General features: G+C 55.1%; 1 protein-coding gene and 1 long non-coding RNA gene across 7 annotated transcripts in view, besides 7 other annotated features; one reads left to right on the forward strand and one right to left on the reverse strand.

Moving 5' to 3' along the window:
* FAM222A (family with sequence similarity 222 member A) overlaps positions 1-16,904 on the forward strand; it is a 56,671-nt gene that overhangs the window by 7,914 nt on the left and 31,853 nt on the right. For 3 of the 5 annotated variants that reach the window (XM_047429748.1, XM_047429749.1, XM_017020055.2), the window contains exon 1: positions 16,272-16,752. The exons of the other annotated variants lie outside the window; for them this stretch is intronic. The gene's annotated coding sequence lies outside the window, so the exon portion shown is untranslated. Of the gene's footprint in view, positions 1-16,271; positions 16,753-16,904 lie in introns of those variants that run through there. 5 annotated transcript variants of the gene reach the window in all.
* Positions 4,619-5,329: an enhancer, noted in NCBI's record as "H3K4me1 hESC enhancer chr12:110164162-110164872 (GRCh37/hg19 assembly coordinates)". NCBI's record gives its function as "activates a minimal SCP1, AML or CMV promoter by ChIP-STARR-seq in naive H9 embryonic stem cells {active_cell/tissue: H9 hESC(naive)}" and the evidence as "EXISTENCE:reporter gene assay evidence [ECO:0000049][PMID:30033119]".
* Positions 9,758-10,258: an enhancer, noted in NCBI's record as "H3K4me1 hESC enhancer chr12:110169301-110169801 (GRCh37/hg19 assembly coordinates)". NCBI's record gives its function as "activates a minimal SCP1, AML or CMV promoter by ChIP-STARR-seq in primed H9 embryonic stem cells {active_cell/tissue: H9 hESC(primed)}" and the evidence as "EXISTENCE:reporter gene assay evidence [ECO:0000049][PMID:30033119]".
* Positions 12,471-16,904, reverse strand: part of FAM222A-AS1 (FAM222A antisense RNA 1) — a 39,279-nt gene continuing 34,845 nt past the window's right edge. For both annotated transcript variants that reach the window (NR_026662.2, NR_026661.2), the window contains 2 exons: positions 13,853-14,083; positions 12,471-12,855 (listed from right to left, as the gene is read on the reverse strand). This is a non-coding gene — a long non-coding RNA (FAM222A antisense RNA 1). The remainder of the gene's footprint in view (positions 12,856-13,852; positions 14,084-16,904) is intronic.
* Positions 14,933-15,133: a silencer, noted in NCBI's record as "peak1944 fragment used in MPRA reporter construct". NCBI's record gives its function as "represses an SCP1 promoter by STARR-seq MPRAs in K562 erythroleukemia cells {active_cell/tissue: K562}" and the evidence as "EXISTENCE:reporter gene assay evidence [ECO:0000049][PMID:32103011]".
* Positions 14,933-15,537: a biological region, named in NCBI's record as "H3K4me1 hESC enhancer GRCh37_chr12:110174581-110175080".
* Positions 15,038-15,537: an enhancer, noted in NCBI's record as "H3K4me1 hESC enhancer chr12:110174581-110175080 (GRCh37/hg19 assembly coordinates)". NCBI's record gives its function as "activates a minimal SCP1, AML or CMV promoter by ChIP-STARR-seq in naive H9 embryonic stem cells {active_cell/tissue: H9 hESC(naive)}" and the evidence as "EXISTENCE:reporter gene assay evidence [ECO:0000049][PMID:30033119]".
* Positions 16,041-16,185: an enhancer, noted in NCBI's record as "145 bp enhancer 206 fragment used in the MPRA reporter construct; PK_construct_151". NCBI's record gives its function as "activates an SV40 promoter by MPRA in HepG2 cells {active_cell/tissue: HepG2}" and the evidence as "EXISTENCE:reporter gene assay evidence [ECO:0000049][PMID:23512712]".
* Positions 16,107-16,120: a transcriptional cis regulatory region, noted in NCBI's record as "HNF1 motif; enhancer activity is reduced when this motif is scrambled". NCBI's record gives its function as "necessary for full MPRA enhancer 206 activity {active_cell/tissue: HepG2}" and the evidence as "EXISTENCE:site-directed mutagenesis evidence [ECO:0005528][PMID:23512712]".

Here is a 16,904-nt window from a genome sequence, read left to right on the forward strand (position 1 = left end):
AACTCCCACTTGTGTTCATCCATGCAGATTCCGAGCACTGACAGTCTGGATGATGATAACAGCATGTATTTAGTTCTTCCTGAGAGCTAGGTCCTTCCTGGGCACTCTCTCGTTCATCATTCTGCAGAACACCTGCAGCAAGCCTCCCTGCACCTCCAGGGAGAATTCTTAACCCATTTTAGAGATGAGGGAACTGAGGCTTGGCTCAGCTAAGCAGAGTAGGGTCACGCACTTGTTGGGTGGCCGAGCTGGCATTCAGACCCAAGTCTGAAAGTTCACAGCCTGGGACAGGGCTGTAGGTGGCAGGCAGACAGGGGAGCCCTCCCAGAAAAGATGTCATTTTTTTGGAGGCTTTAAAGGCTGGTGGGCTTCTGACGGGCAGAGCCAGGAAGGGTGAACGTCCGGGTGGAGGGAACAGCATGAGAGGCAGCTCAGAGGCAGGCAGGTGAGAGTGTTTACTAAGGGAGCAGTGTGTAACCAGATGTGGCTAGAATGTGGAGAGAGAGGACTGTGGAAGGAGCCAGGGCTGGCCTGGATGTTTGGACTTTGCTTTCCCATAGTAGGGAGCTCTGGCAGCTCTTTCAGCAGAGTAACAGTGAGGTCCCGTCTAAGAGTACTTATTCAACAGCTCTGTGAATCCTGGGTGAGGTTGCTTGGGGGGCTACCTTCAGTCTACTAGAAGCTTTGGCCTAGAACAGTGCCTAGTGCACAGTAGGTAGACATCCAAGAAGTATTGATTGAATGAATAAATGAATGAAGACTCCCCGGACTAAAATGCTCCTGACCTCCCCAGGGGCCCAGCTGCAAGGAGGGGAGAGACCAGAGTCCTCCTCTCCAGGCAAAGTTGAACACCAGGCCTGGCAGTGACGGGCAGGAGAAGGGGCCAGGCAGGTACCTGGGACAGGGCTTCCCCTTCACCACTCCCCTACCCTGCTGCCTGTCCCCAGGACCCCTCCTAGACCTTCCTGCTGGGCTGTCTGCACCTTTCGAGCCACACCTGGCGGGCAGTGTGGGCCCAGCGCTTGGGGGGATGAAAGATGAAGGTTCGTGACCATTTTTTAACTCAATAAAGGGAGAGACAAGCTGCAGGCTGCAGGCCGGAGATATAATTAGTTCACAGCAGTGGCGCTTTCTTGATTTAGCTTCTGAGAGAACAAGACAAGGATGTTATACCCAATTAGCAGTAACATCCAGTCGGAGCCTCAATAGGTGAGATAACAAGCTATTTTTATGACTTTTCTTTCCCAGCTTGGAGGGAGCGGGTGGGGGGGGGAGGGGGTATCAGGGCCTTATTTCTTTTCATCAGGGAACAATTATTAGCGATCTCAGGATTTCCCAAAGCCAAATGATGCATTTGTTAACCCAAACATGCAAGCATCCCAGGGTAGCAGCAGGGGTGGCAAGCTGGCATTTTGAGCCCGGGGTGGATGGGAGGGGTGCAGGCCACTAGCCTCTATTCTGGAAGCCCTCTGAAAAGGTTCCCAAATGTGGGCAGCAGAAGCGCAGGCCCTTGAGATATTCTTAGTATTTGCCTTGATTTCCCTACCTGCGTTCAAAGGGACATAAGGAGGCCAGGCCAGTTTCCCTGGGGATGAGGAAGGAGCCAGTTTTGGCCCTTGGCAGCCCTTCTTGGCACCACTGTAGATTCTTTCTGCCAACTAGGCCGGAGGTTCTGGCACCTCAGTCTTGAACCTGCCATTGCACTTTGCCCACCCAACCCCCATTATGGTTCGCCCCACCCAGCCACCCTTCTCCTGTCCTGGGTCCCGGGCCCAGTCCCTGGCAGGGCCAGACTGGTGATTAGCTCCTTTCTCTCCATCATTAGACCCGCAGTCAGGGCACCCAGCACTGGCCAAGTCCCTACTGGGCAGGGAAGCCCTGCCAAGCCCCACCCCAGCTGCCTGGCTGTGCTCCCACTCCTGGCGAAGGCTGGGGGATGCCCGGAGAGGGAGCTGGCAGGGCTGCTGTGATGCCGCATCGCATCGGCCTGGGCCCCAAGCCCAGAGCAGGTTCCTGGGCCTCCGCCCCTCCTCCTGAATCTTGTCCCGCCCTGTCCCACGTCCCATCTTCCTGTCAGTGTGGAGCTCCCCACTCCCGGTTCAGACAACTGACAAATCCAGCCATGCAAAGTGGGAGTTTAATTGCAAACAGTTTTTACGGATCATGGGCCCATCTGTGCCACCATATGCAAAAGAGAAAAAAAAATCCCCTTTTTTTTTCTCCCCACCCCACAAACTACAAAAGAAACAATTGCCAAGGTTTTTCTAGCTGGAAGCAAGCACAGAGCTGGGACCCATCCCCGGGGGCTTCCTGCAGGGTGGTCCTGGCAAGGCCAGATAGGGCAGAGATGAGAGAATTCCAGGGGACCCACCCAGAAGTTGAGATCTGACTGCAGAGAGGCTGTGACAGCCTCAGCAAACTGCTGGCAGCTCCTGAACCCACTGAGATCTCTCACAGCTCTGGGCCTTGGCACGTGCCATGCCATGGTTCAAGTACCAGGTCCTGGCCTTTTCCAGCTACCTGGCTGACACTATGCATGGCCTGTGAGACAGGGCTTGGTGTGGAGTGGGCATTGCACAGTGTTCATGGAAACATGTGAAAGAGCCGTGTCACGGGGCCCCAAGGACGAGGCGCCTTCTGTCCCCTTCCTACCCAAGAAATGCAACTCCAGGAGGCTGGGGCTGACCAGGCCTCACAGACTCCCTTCTTCCCAGTGGTGCCTCTTGCCCTGGTGCCCAGCCTGGCTCTGCCGATGAATGCCACCCAAGATGTAAAGGACATTGGGCGCCAGCAGCCCACCCTCCTCGGGCCCTCAGATGAGGCTTCCCCCGGGGCCTGCGTGAGCTTCTGAGAGGACTCACCTGAAGCAACCTGCCAGGGTTCGATTCTCATGCCACCCCATCCTAGCTGGGTCACTTCAAACTGTCGGTCCTCCCTCTCTGTGCCTCAGTTTCTTCCTCTGTAAAATGGGAGTGCTGGACGTAAAGTGCTTCTCTGCTTGTCATCTCTCTTCCCTTGTGAGGTGGGGGTGAGGGTCCTTTGCTTTGTACACTAATGTCTTCCCAAGTTTCTAATTGGAACACCCAATGTTGAATGAATGAATGAACGAGTGAGTGAAGGAATGCATGAGGGAGGTATTTGGAGGGCTTTCCGGAGAGGAAATGGGACACAGGCACTTGGCTTGCCAGGAATTCAGGATTTTTAGTCCCTTTCTTGTTGGCATCCGGAAACCACCGTGCAATCTATGGGAATGATGAACTCCATTCTACAGGTGGGGGAAACTGAGGCTCAGAGAGATTGAGGGACTCTCCCAAGGCCATATAGCTGAAAAGAGGCCAGAGCTGGGACTGGAACCCTGGGCTGAGCAACTCCAGCTGGCCAAGTCCCTGCCCCTCAGGTGAGGAGAGTCCAGCCCAGAGCTGGGAAGGAGCTTGGCCAAGGTTACACAGCAAGAAAATAGCAGCCAGCATTTGTGGGGCACTTCCTACCCCCATTTTACAGATATACTGTGTGCTGTGCTAGGCCCTCCCTGAATCCTCACCAGACCTTGCGCAGTGAGTGCTATGGTCCTTCTCACAGATGAGTAAACTGAGGCTCAGAGAGGCAAAGGTACTCACCCGAGGTCACCGAGGTACTCCAGCCTCAGAGCCAGGCCAGCCAAGTCCTGCTTGCTCTTCTCTCTTCTCCCTCTCCCTCCCCCTCCCTCCCCTAGGTCTGCACCCTGTGGGTTCCCTATGCGCCTTACCAACTGTGTGTGCCAGCAGCCGGGCCCCGAGCGGGGGTTCCAGTGTCCAAGGCTAGGCACCTTGCACAGCCCTCTTGCAGCAGGTAGCAGGGGAAAGTGGGACGCAGGAAACATCCCCATTTCCTGGGACCCAGGTGAGACCAGGCCAGGCACCAGGCAGCCCATTCCCGGCCTGTAGTGATTACCAGCTCCCATTGTAATCATTAAAACTATTAGAAGGAAACGTTTGCTTGAAGCAAATGTCAGGCGCCAAGTTGTGCTTTGTAAACGCTCACAATTAATGCCAATCAGGCCCGGAAAAAAGCCGGCCCGGAATCCTGTCTGTTTCGTCTCATTTGTCAGCTGGTGCTGCTCCATGTTGCACATTTTCATACAATTGCTATAAACATAAAAGGGAAACTCCACAGTGTTCCCGGGCGCCCGGATGGTGCGCGCCGGCTTAATTACTTGGTATTCTGCTGTTCATTTGGCCGCCCTGAGCTGGTGGGAGAGAGAAAGGGGGACTTTGTGTAGCAGGGCGAGGGTTGCTGGGGGTCAGCCAGGGAGATGGGTCAGGCTGCTGGCCTGGGCCTCCTGCCCCGTTCTCTGTAGGCTGTGTGACCCACAAGCTAAGCTGGGAAACAAGAAAAAATTGCTAAAAAAAAAAAAAAAAAAAAAAGTTGGCAAAACCTTCAAGTAGAAAAGGGATTCAGAGTCCACCAGACTTGGTTTCAAATCCCTGTTCCCTCTCCTAGAATAGCTCATCAGGTTTATGGTCCACCTCCTGCATGCCAAGCATGGGGCCTCAGTTTTCCTCATCTGTGAGTTGAGGGTAACAGCCCAGCGGTCAGGATTTCAAGCCTGCTGGGGCCTGGGGACATCATGGTTTGGTTTTGTTTTCCCATTTGGTTGCTGCACAGACCCTGTGAGGGTGAGCTGCCCCTCTTAGCAGAGTGTGAGGGCCACAGTCCCACAGCAGGAAGTGGTGGAGCCAGGATTTGGCCCCAGATCACTGGCTGCAGAGCCTGTAACCATTGTACCATCCTCCCGCACCCACCCCGGGCAGCCATGGGGCTGAAAGAAGATGTGATGTCTACAGGTCCCAGCACGCAGTAGGTGTTTGGTAAACAGTGGCTGCTGTCTGCCCACTGCCTGGAGATGGTCAGGAGCAGCAGGGGGGCTCAGGCCTGGCTTGATGGTCAGCACCAACGGGATGTGGACCTTGCCGGGTGGAGGGTGAGAATGGAGTGGTCTAGAAGCAGGTGCTGTTCCCGCTTCCCTAGGGGCCTGGGTCCGCCTGGCTTCCAGGGTGGGACTTAGGAGGGAGATGCTGAGAACATGCCTGGCCAGGCCCCAGGGGACTCCCGCCAACCCCCATCCGCCCTTGCCTTGCACCTGGCTCTGAGGTGCTGGGTGTGGTTGTGCACTAGGCCCCATGTTGTCTCACCAGACCTCTGACAGTCCAAAAAGTTGGGTGTGCTATCGTCATGGTCCCCATTGTACAGATGAGGAAGCAGAGGTCCAAGCTGACCCAAGGTGGCCGGGCTGGGAGGTGGGGATGCTGAAGCCGGCTCCTGCCCAGGTTCCTCGTTCCCAAGTCTCTTGTGCCCTCCTAGCCCCCTCCCTGTAGAGACTGGACGCGGCCCTGCCACACCTTACACCCCCTCCCCAGGGCCCTTTTGAGCTCTCCAGCTCTCTGTGGTCGGGGTCTTCTGAGGCCAGGCTGGGACACACTGGCCTTTGTGTGAGCTTGAGCCGGGCCGGGCGGCCAGCAGAGTGGGGAGAGGGCGGTGCAGCCTGGCCGGCCAGGGACAAATGCTCAGAGCGGGAATAGAGGCCCTTTTGTGTGCCTCTCGGAGGGGGAGGGGGTGCTGCCAGCTGCCATCCCGTGTGACTGTGGAGGCCTGAGCCCTCCACAGAGGTTTGGCCGACACCTCCAGGGGACTGGCCAGGGAGCCTGTCATCATCAGCTCTGCCTCCTTCTCTGACTATTTTGTGTCTTGCTCTTGTTTCCTGGGGGTCCTTGGCTGCTAGAGGAGCCAAGGCAGCCATTAACCTGGTTTGCTGTGGGCCTGCTGTGTGCCAGCCCTGAGCCCAACACTCCAGCCACCCTTCAGGCAAGGGGCGGTAGTCTCATGTTTCAGATGCAGACACTGAGGTTCACGGAGGACAGGCAACTTGCCACGCTGGCACGTGGTCATGGGGTGGGGATGTGGCCGACTCTAAAGCTTTCTCTGTCTGTAGAGTTGCCCTTTGTGTCATGCCCTGGGGTCCAGGTTTGCAGCTTAAGGTGCTCACTCCCCAGGGTAGGCTAGGGGAAGAGCAGAGATAGGTGCTGGGGACTGGGCCTCCAGGTGTACCCCACCACCAAAGTCCTGGGTGAAAACCAGCAGGAAGTCTTCAGGTGTCTCTGTTCCCTGAGGGACATTCTGTCCCTCAATCGTGGCGGGACTCTGGGCTAGTGGCTGCAGGGCATTCATAAACAAGCCCAGGGCCCTGTTGAGGGCCACCATACCTGTTCAACCCGCTCTGAGCCTCGATCTCCTTAACTGAGAAATGGAAATGAAAGAGAACCCGCCCCAGGGGCACTGGGGGAAGATGTAGTGCCAGGACCTGAGTAAAGTGCTGAGCTTGGTACCTAAGCACACTCGGGCCACACAAGCATAGGCTGGGGTTTCCCAGCATTCCTGCTGCCTCCTGGGAGGGGAAGAATATGAGCTACAGCAGTGGGTGGGTCGTGGGTGTTGAAGTCTCTCCCAGGAGCATAATCATGCACCAGGGACTGTCCCACTGGGTCCCTGCCACAGCCCACTTTACATGTAAGCAGTGTGAGGATCAGAGAGCTAAGGTGACTCGTCAGGGGTCCCAGGGTCCCAGGGTCCCAAAGAGATAACACGGGGATTGTGGCTTCTGGTGAGGCCCAGCCCTTAGTCTCTTCCTAATCCCCACTTTGCCTCGTCTGTAGAAGGCCACTATAGACACGGAGTCCCTTTTCTATGAACCCAGCCCCGTGGGAGAGCAGAGCCATGCAGGATGCCCTCAAAGGCCACTTGGCCTCCTGCAGCATATTCCAGCCACCTGGGATGGGCTTGCACCTGCCAGGCCGTACCTTCCTCTGTGCCTTTGCTCAGACTGGGGCATCTGCCAGGTGTACCCTCACCATCTGCAGGGCTAAGAGTCTGGTACCTGCTCACCTCCAGAGCCCCACCCAAGCCCTTTTCACCAATCTCCCATCTCTTCGTGCACAGTGTGGCACATGGTAGGCGTTCAGTGAAGTTGGAACCAAAGATCCAGTCCAGCCCTCAGAGACCTGGTTCCCACCTAGCAGGAGAGACAGACACAAACAGGTCAGTGACAGGGCTACACATCCAAGGATGGAATCAAGTGCGGGACGCCCACAGAGCAGGGAGCTCCCGTTCCATCTCTAAGACTAACCGAACCCCTACTATGCTCCTGAAAACTCTGCCATCTCCTTTCAGTCTTCCCAGGGCAAGGCAGTGGGGTTACAGGTAAAAAAAAAAAAGAGGCTCAGACAGCCAGGTACTGACAGGTCACATGGCTGCCCAGGACACCTTGGCCATTCCAACTCCAAAGTCCCACTCCTTCTCCAGGGTGGAAAACTCAGGTACCCGGGGACCATGCAGGTAACATGAGGAGCAAAGCCATTGCAGCCACCCTCAGGACACATCAGCCCAGGGGTTCCAGCACTGCCAGGTTTGGGTTTTTCCCCCAAGAGAAAGCAGACAATAAGAATTTTAGGTAGAATTCTAGTTTTTCTTTTGGACATTGGCAAACACATCATAAGTTTTTAAATGCAGCAAACAGGGCAAAGAAAAAAAGGTGTGGGCTGATTTGCACCCTTTAATGACCCTGTATTGTCTGGGTGAGGGGCATGCTGGGGGGTCTCAGGACGGCTTGCCTTCCCCATCCCCGGCCAGCAAGAGCCCCCGGAACCCAGTGGCATCTCCCTGAGCCCCTCAAGACACCCCCAGCCAGCGCCTTCACCGCCAGAGGCAGGAGGCAGGGCCTGAGCCCCACGAGGGCACCACCCAAATAGCTATAATCAGCAGCCTCGCCAAGACTTCAAACTCACCCAATTATCCTGCAAGGGAAAAAAAACACAAAATGAAAACAAATTAACATGTTTGCATAGAAGCCGCTGCAGCAACACACACAGACGCGCGCACGCATGCACATGCTGGCGCATGCCCCAGCAAGGCTGGGAGACGGCGCCGCCACCCCCGCTCCCTGGGCCTGGCACCCACCTGGACCAAAATACGGGAACAGGCCCAGCAGCCAGCTTGTCCCCAAACCTGACTGGGCACTGACTCCCTCCACCAGCTTTCAGTTTTTCTTCTTTTCGATTTAATAAACACATACAATTCATTGTGTGCCAAAATGCCACTGCACCAATCTGTGAGGCAGATATATTATGAGCCCCTTTCTACAGATGGGGCAGCTAGCTGACCTGCCTGAGGCTGCACAGCTAGCACGTAGGGGAGCCAGCTGGGGCTTGAACCCAGACAGGCCACTTCCAAAGTCCCTGCCATGACCACCGCGCCTTCTCTGTGGCTCCTTCTTGCCTGTGGGTGGTGTGCCAAGGCCTCAGTCTGCCTTCGAGGTCCCTCCTAACCCCTGTGGCCTGCGTCCACTCTTCCCTTGCCCACGCCACCCAAACGGCCCACCCTTACCCTACAGGCTGGCTCTCCTCCTTACCCTACAGGCCGAGGGGCTGTTGGTGTGATGATTATTACGGAGCCAGGTGAATGTGGGTTCAAATCCCTGCTCCACCAGTTTCTTACCAGATGGCTTTGGGCATGTGGCTTTGCTTCTCTGTGCCTCAGTTTCCCCCCCTGCTAAAATGGAATAACCAAGGAGGTGAGGAAGATTCTGCAGGCGAGTGGCTGCCTACAAGGTACTACTTCTGGCACCTGCCTGGGGGGCGGGGGGGGGGGTTCCTCCAGCCCACACCATTCATTTAGTGCCACAAGGCCCACCTCATCAGACTCACTGAGCCCCTGTTGGTGCCTTTGCGCTCCGTGCCAGGTGCTGCCCTTGCCCTTGGGACACTCAGACAAGAAGCTCAGATACTCCTTTTTCTGGGAAGCAGCCTGTCCTCGGAAGGACCCCTCTTCTCTGGGCCCCCTGAAGCTCTGTCTGACCTGGGATTGGGGTTGCGTGGGCGTGTGTCTGGTCATCTTTGCCGTGTTTGGTTTTTCTCTGGGTTCCTGCAGCCTGGCACACCACAGGTGCTCAGGCAGGGTTGGTGACTGCACTCGTTGGAGCATCCCCTCTCACTCTCAAGGCACACTTGGGGCCTTGTCCCTGGCATTAAAGGATAAACTGCTGGAAGGAATTGAGGTTTAGGTCCTGGGGTTCAAGGATCCCTGCCCTCCTCCCCCGCTGCTGTGTGACTGCAGGCAAATTGCTTCACCCCTGAGCCCATCACTGTCATCTCCTGGGGTGAGAGCTGGGCGGGCAGTTCACGAGTGCTACACTGCATGTGTTCATCACCGGCTTCATCCTCACAACCGGCTGGTGAGGAAGGTGTGGTTTCTACTTCCATGTTTCATATGGAGAAACTGAGTCCCCAAGGGACTCGGTGGCTTACTCAAGACAGCCCTGCTAGTGAATAGCAGAGCCAGGGTTCAAACTGAGTTCTGGGTTTTTGCCTTAGCTGAGGTGCTGTTTCGTCCTTCCTAGACACTGTCCGTCAGGAGCCAGAGGGGTAGTGCCTTGCGGGTCTGGAGAATGAGGGCTACTAGGATGCTATGGTGGTGGCGGGAGGGGTAACTCAACTGGCTGCAGGATCACCCCTTTGGCATGCTGGGGAGGTGACCCAGCGCCTACCCCAGGAGCGGCTGGTCCTGTGGGACATTGGGTGCCCACTCAGAATCCGGCCCTCCCACAGCACAGCCATGCCATGGGCTTTAGAGTCCAGCAGACCTAGTTCGCATCCAGATCCCACCAGGAGCAAATCCTCTTCCTCTCGGAGCCTCTGCCCCTGCTGGAGAATGGGAGGCGTGGATGTATTCACACTCAAGAGAAGGGCTTCCAGCTCCACGTGAGCTGAGGCATGGCACCCGGCACACAGTTGCTGCTCGATGAAGCCACCCCCTGCCCAGACCTCCTGCAGGAGAGGCCCTCTCCCTTATCCAGAAGCTTCCCAGCCCTGGAGCCTCAATGACACAGGCTGGGGGTGGGGCTTGTGTTGCCTAGTTGGTAAGCTGGGTCCGGAGGAGGCTCTAGCCCTGCCCCTCTGCCCACCCATGTTGAGGGTCTCTGGGGCCCGTGTGTTCTGGGTGTGTGGAGGGGTTTGTCGGGTTGAGGTGGCAAACTACAGTGAAAAGAGCGGGGAGAGACCCCGAACTGTGAACCCTGGACCATGCAGGGAGTGTGGGAAATAAAGGTCCCAGCCCAGCTCTCTGTTCAGGTGGGATTTATTGAGCATCTACTGTATGTCTGGCCTTGGAGTAGAAAGAGACCAGCGAAGGGTTTGTGAGGCCTGAGGCCCAGCCTTCTCACTGCTGTGCACCCTGGGCAAGCCACACCATCTGTGGACACAACCTTCTCACGCAGGGCTGTAGTCACATCACAGTAAGAGGACGTTTGTTACTCGGTGGTTGAGAGTGCAGGTCTAGAGCCCCCCAACTAAACCCTGGGGATAGGGCAAGGGCCGCTTTCAGTGGTCATTGTGAAGCTGTGTACAACCCCCTCACACCCATGCTTCTGAGGCTCTGAGTGCAGAGACTGAGTGCCGGGTGGGAGGAGGTTCTTTCCCCCTCATTACAAAAGTCATGTTCATCTTTTAGTATTTGGAAATGAGTCTGACAAAGAAAATAAAATTCAGCTGACATCTAACTGCCCAGAACTAGCACTTGGTCTCATGTGGGAACATTCTGCCCAGGTGCTGTGCATTTGGGGAGTGTCTGGCCCCAGGAAGGGCCACTCTGTGCTAAGCCTGTCCTGGGCTCCTGGACGCCACCTGCCCGGCCGCCTGCCCAGCAGCCCATTGTCTGGCATGTGGGGGCGCGGAGCAGCCGTTGTTCTGCACACATCTGATCCCGTCTTTTCCACATCAGATCATTTGTAACCGTCACCAGGCAATCGGGCCCGTCGCTGATTCAATCTCGGCTTTGTGCTGTCACAGCCGTTTTTCTGCGCTGGGCTGATTTTGAAAGGACGCCCATCCTCTGGGCCCACTTTTCAGAAGGAGGGGAGGTGGGTGGGGGGAGGTGTGTGTGAGAGTGTACGCAGGACATGTTCCCCACACACGTGTACACACACACACATACATTCCACTGCTACATCTCATCACTTAGAGTAGAATTTGGGATGAGGTAGATGAACAAGGGCCTCAGGCCAGGCCCATCATCCCTACCTCCGTCCCTGACCATCTGCCACCCTGAGTGCCTACTGTGTGCCCCATCGTGCAGACACAGTAGAACCGGCACTCCAGTGGAAGAGACAGACACTAAACCATTCATCAAGATAATTTCAGAGCAGTAATGACAATGAAAGAACTGCTGTGGTGATGGGACAATGGCCAGGGCAGAAGGTTGCCAGCTTGACCAGGTGGTCAAGGAGGGTCTCTCGGAGGAGGTGATGTTTGAGCTGAGGTGTGAATGGGGAAATGGAGCTGGCATGGAGAGTGGGAGAGTGGTGTGTACTGGGGACAGTGTGGTGTTGCACTGTCCACAGGTGGCATTGAACATTTGCAGTGAGGCAAGTCTGAACTGAACTGAGATGTAAAATCCATCCCAGGTTTCAAAGACTTAGAATAAAAACAAGAACATAAAATACCTCAGGAATTTTTAAATACTGATTACACATTGAAGTGATACTATTTTGGATCTATTGGGTGAAGTAAAATATATTATTAAATTTAATTTCCTCTTACTGCTAGAAAATGTACAATTACATATGAGGCTCCCATTATTACATTTTTTTTTTTTTTGAGACGGAGTCTCGTTCTGTCACCCAGGCTGGAGTGCAGTGGCGTGTGATCTCAGCTCACTGTAAGCTCCGCCTCCCGGGTTCACGCCATTCTCCTGCCTCAGCCTCCTGAGTAGCTGGGACTACAGGCACACGCCACCACGCCTGGCTAATTTTTTGTATTTTTAGTAGAGAGGGGGTTTCACCGTGTTAGCCAGGATGGTCTCGATCTCCTGTCCTCGTGATCTGCCCATCTCGGCCTCCCAAAAGTGCTGGGATTACAGGTGTGAGCCACCACGCCCGGCCCCCATTATTACATATTTCTATCAGACAGCACTGGTATAGGGTATTTAGGTAGAGGCAAAACCATAAGTGCAAAGGCCCTGGGGTGGGGACAGGGTTGGCTTGTGAGAGGACCAGAAAGCAAGCCAGCGTGTCTGAGCAGGATCAGCCTGGGACAGGGACAGTGCAGATAGACATTGGGAAAGGGATTCACAGAGGTCCTTCAAGGATATTGTTAGAAAAGCCACGGAAGACTGGCGGGATGGCTCATACCTATAATTCCAGCACTTAGGGAGGCTGAAGTGAGAAGGTTGCTTGAGGCCAGGAGTTCAAGACCAGCCTGGGCAACATAGCAAGATCCCACATCTACAAAAAATAATAATTAGCTGGGTGGGGTGGTGCACAACTGTAGTCCCAGCTACTTGAGAGGTTGAGGCAGGAGGATCACTTGAGCCCAGGAGGGAGCTGCAGTGAGCCATGATCATGCCACCGTACCCCAGCCTGGGTGACAGGGCAAGACCCTGTCTCCAAAAAAAAAAAAAAAAAAGCTATGGAAGCCACTAGGTGAGCTCTACGCAGGAGAGATGTGCGCTACACACAGAAAGGCTTGGTCTGGCTCCCTTGAGGTGGAGATTGACGGCAGGGGGGCGATGGGGCACAGGGACGGGCAGGAATCTGTTGTAGAAGAGTTGCTGCCGGGACCTGCTGGTGAATTGGCTCCACCGGATCCGGCTCCGCAGAAAGCTCACTGCTTCCTGTGGCTCCTGGATTTCCAAGCCTCTGGGGTTTCCTGTCTCTCCCGGCACCCGTCTCCACCTCCCCAGCAGCTGTTCCCTGTCATGTCGGTGCATTTACAATGAGCGCCAGTCGCCTGTCTCCAGGTGGTCAGAGGTTGAAATCCCTTTTGAAAAGTTCTTTAAAAAAAAAAAAAAAGAAAGAAAGAAAAACCAGAAGTCATGCATGTTCATTGTGGAAAAATTAGAAATACAGAGAAGCACAAAGAAGAAAAGGAAAATTCCCCAGTTAACCGTCAGCCGCTAGGCTATGACAGGGGGAGGGGGTTGAACCCAGGTGGTCTGGCTCCAGCACTTTCTAAATCACAGTGCCTGTGGCCGGATGACATGGAGGGAGCTCCCTGACCATAGGAGGGGTTAGAGACACGACGCCCCTCTACCCTCACTCACAGCAGAGGTGGAAAGCTGGAGACTGACCCACACATGGGTGGTGAGTGGCGTTTGACTCTTGGAGATTTAAATAAAACAAACATTGAGAGAGCTTATGAACTCTGGGATGTGGAGTGGTGGCGCTGTCATTTGGGCCGAGTGTCCTGTCCTGTTTCCTAACCCCTGCCTCGAAGGCTCCATTCATTTCTGCCCCAGCCTGACCCCCAGAAGCATCTACTGATCTTAGCATTGGGCTAAAAGCTAAGGCCAGCCCTTGCCAGCCACTTTTGTCCACTCTCCTCCCCCGACCTGGGCCACTGCGTCTTCTAAACACTCTTGGGTCATTCTTGCACAAGGACCCAGTCTTCTTCCTCCCCGTCCCTTGGGGCCTGAATCCTCAAACCCTGTCTGGCCCAGGCCAACCTCTTCCGTGGGGCTTTCCTGCCTGCTCCACCAACCAACCCCGTGGTCCTGGACAGCTCCCTTCCCTCTCTGTTTCCTCGTGGGTACAACGCCAATCATGTCTTTCTCCCGGTTGTGGCGTGGGTTACGTGAGGTGACGTCTGTAAAGTACTGAGCCTGTGGAGAACACTAAAAATAAAAGCTAGCTCTTATTGCTCTTACTATTAGATTTTTCTCCTTCCCCGTTGCCTGCTTTAACCCTGAACTGTGGGTGCAGGGACTGGGGGAATAGGTGGGAGGAAGGCTAGAGATACCGGGCCCCTCCCATCTCCACTGTGGGTCTTACCTTTGCCCGTTGCACACAGTGTTCCGTCTTCCGGGATCCCAGTGTCATCTGGTGGCATCCCTCCTTCCCTCTTTTGGTCTCCATTTCCATGTTGTTTCTCCAGAGAGATTCTATGACCACTTCCAAAAAAAACTGGGCGGGGGGCTTTCGGCTGAGCTCACAGCCCCATTATGACATCGTAGTACTGAAGCTGTTCAGTATCGATTCTCAGATCTCCCCACTCATTCTTTGCTGGAAGGTGATGACGGAGTCTTACTTGACTGACAATTTTCATTAAAGAGCCGAGGCTGGAACTAGGAGAACAGAGGCTCAGCCTGCCCCTGGCTCCAAACTTTGCACCTTGGGATCCCTGGCTCTCTGGGAAGAGTGAAACTGCCCTTCAGAGGTCCATGGCTCTGGGAGAGGGCCAGCCAGGCCTGTTGCCAGTGGCAGTGACTGCCCCTCCTTCTGGCACCTTCTCTGAGTCCCTGTCCTGAACTAGCACTAGTGCAGAGGAAACAGATCTCCCCGCTCTGAGGTTGGGGGGGTCCCTGCCTGGCCCTGCATAGGTGAGGTGCTCTCAGTGACTCACCAGGAGGGTTTGCTCTCCAGCAGCCTGGAGCTCCTTCATGTTCTCTGTTTGCTCCTCTCTCTCAAGTCTCCATGTGGTGGCCTGTGCAGTCCCTTCTGTGGGATCCTTCCCTTCCCCTAGCTTTTTCCTACTTACCTGTTGATAGCGACCATAAACAATGCTAACAACGGGTACCACTTAGGCAGCTACCACAAGGACCCTGGCACTTTGTTGTAAGGAATTAACCCCTTTTGCAGACGCAGAAACTAAGGCTCAGAGAGGAGGGAGGGATTTGCCTAAGCTCACAGAGTTAGGGTGTAAAGCTCAGACATCCGGATGTGAAGTCGGGGACAGACACTGTCGCTCTGCTAATGAGGCAGCTGGTGTGTCCTTACATCATGACCCCCCCAGGCCAGGTAGGGTGACCCCAACATGGCCACCGCTTGTCTCCCTGCCTTGTAATTACCCCTCTGATGCCTCCCATCCACTCAGGGTCTGTCACTGCCCCAGCATCTAGCACAGGGCCTGGCCTGGCACATAGTTGGTGTTTAATCTGTCATGCCGTCCCCAGTGGTTGGAGTGCTGACGGAGGCACATCGCAGTTGTCAGTTCCCATGGCGACTGACATCACTATGCTCTCAGGCTGTACCCCGCCCCTTTCTCCAGGGCTCTTGCGCCGGGAGCTGGCCGTGGTGCTGACAGGCCCAGGAATGGCCACCTACCCCCAGACCCCAGCTGTGTGTCCCAGTAGGACACTTCCTGAGGCCCACCCTGCCCCAACTCCCTAGGACAGCCTCTTGCCCATCCTTTGTTCAGGAGACGTTTTCCTGAGGGCCCTGTGCTCAGGCACTGCTGTAGCACCGTGAACCCATAGAGGAAGGATCAAGGAGAGCCACATGGGACTCCAGTCATTTGACGATTCATCAAACATTTATTATGTACCTTGTATGTCTTGGAGAAGCCCTCAGGAACCCGGACTCCAATTGAAGGTCGAGTTGAGTTTTAAGGGGTAGAGAGCCAGAAAGGGCTTTTGAGCAGTCCTTCTGCTCAAAAGTCCTTCCTGGCTCTTGGGATTGCATGGGCCAAAGCCTGCAAGTGTGCAGGTGAGAGTCTTGTGCAGAGGGAAGCCCACCTCAGGACTCTGGCTGCCAGCCAGAATTGGTGATTGTCACTTTACTTTTTGGTCTCCCCTTTGGCTCAGAACTGCCAGCATCTCTGGCTCTAGTGCCCAGCCCAGAACCAGGCACAATGGAGGGGTGTTGGAGCCAGGCAGGGGACTGGCATCTTTGTCCTAGAAACCAAAGAGCCAGGTATGCTCTGTGACAAGATTTGCAGCATTTTAGAGAGCCCCTGGCCTGCTGGGGTGGGGACAGATACAGTGGTAATTCTGGCAGAAGATGAGGCCTCCTATTCAAGGGGACAGTACCTCCCCAGCCCCCAACCTTAAAAAAAAAAAAAAAAGGTAAAAATCCCCTTCTGGTGCTGAGGCCCAAATGGCAGTGGGAAATAATCACTTTTCACAGGCCCCTTATCCACAGCCAAGCCCTGTGCCAGTTTAATCAGCAGTGCCGGTGTGACTTGAAGAATCCCCGGCTTGAGAGATCAGGAGAGGGGTTAAAGAAAATTACCCTCGCCTCCTCCATGCTAATGTAATCTCTAACCAGATCTGCCTAGCCGCAGCTCAAATTGCTTTTTAGATTAACATTTAATTATTAACAGGGTCCCTTGGAAGGCCTCCGGCTCAGAACAGAGATGGGGGAGGGAGCGGCAGGAGGGAGGTGGGGATGGGCTTCTACTCTGGCTGCCTTGCTGAGACAAGCGGGGTGGGAGAGAGAGGAAGGAGCAAGGGAAGAGGGGTCAGGAAGGGAGAAAGAGAGAGAGACAGCAGGAAGGAGAAGGGAGGCATCAGGACAGGAGGCAGGTGGAGCTAAGGACAGGGATGTAGACAGAGGAGAGGAAAGAGACAGACAGTGGATCTTCCTGTCGTGGGAGCCCCTAAGGGGGTTGGGGGAAGCTTGCACCTAGATTCCTGAGGACATTCCTGGGCTGGGCAAGGGTCCCTCCACTCTTCCTGGCCAGAAGCAGGTTTGCTGCCCCTCATTATTTAGAGAGGTCTGGACTTTCTGAGGCTTTCTACTTGCTCAGCTCGTGGTGCTGGGGACCAACACAGAGAAGTGACCCATTTAGGGCCACACCACCAGGGTCTGACCCTAGTATTCCCAATCCAGCATTCATTCTCTTCCCCGGGCCCTGGGCCTCTCACCACCATTTCAGGCTCCTATCTGCCTTTGGAGCAGGCTGTGTGGCCAGGCAGCGTGAAGAGACTTGAATTACAGCCAGAGGGATGGAGGTGAGAACTGTGGGAGGGCTCCCTCACCACCCACCTATCCTGCCACCACCCCCAGGAAGGCTGCGAGGCCCTGAGGAGTGGCCAGCATCTCATTCACTTCCTGAAAGGGAATTCAGAGTCTGAACCATCTACTCTACTCCTTGCATGATGAA

Source organism: Homo sapiens, chromosome 12 (assembly GCF_000001405.40).
Source record: "Homo sapiens chromosome 12, GRCh38.p14 Primary Assembly".
NCBI classification, from domain to species: domain Eukaryota; kingdom Metazoa; phylum Chordata; class Mammalia; order Primates; family Hominidae; genus Homo; species Homo sapiens.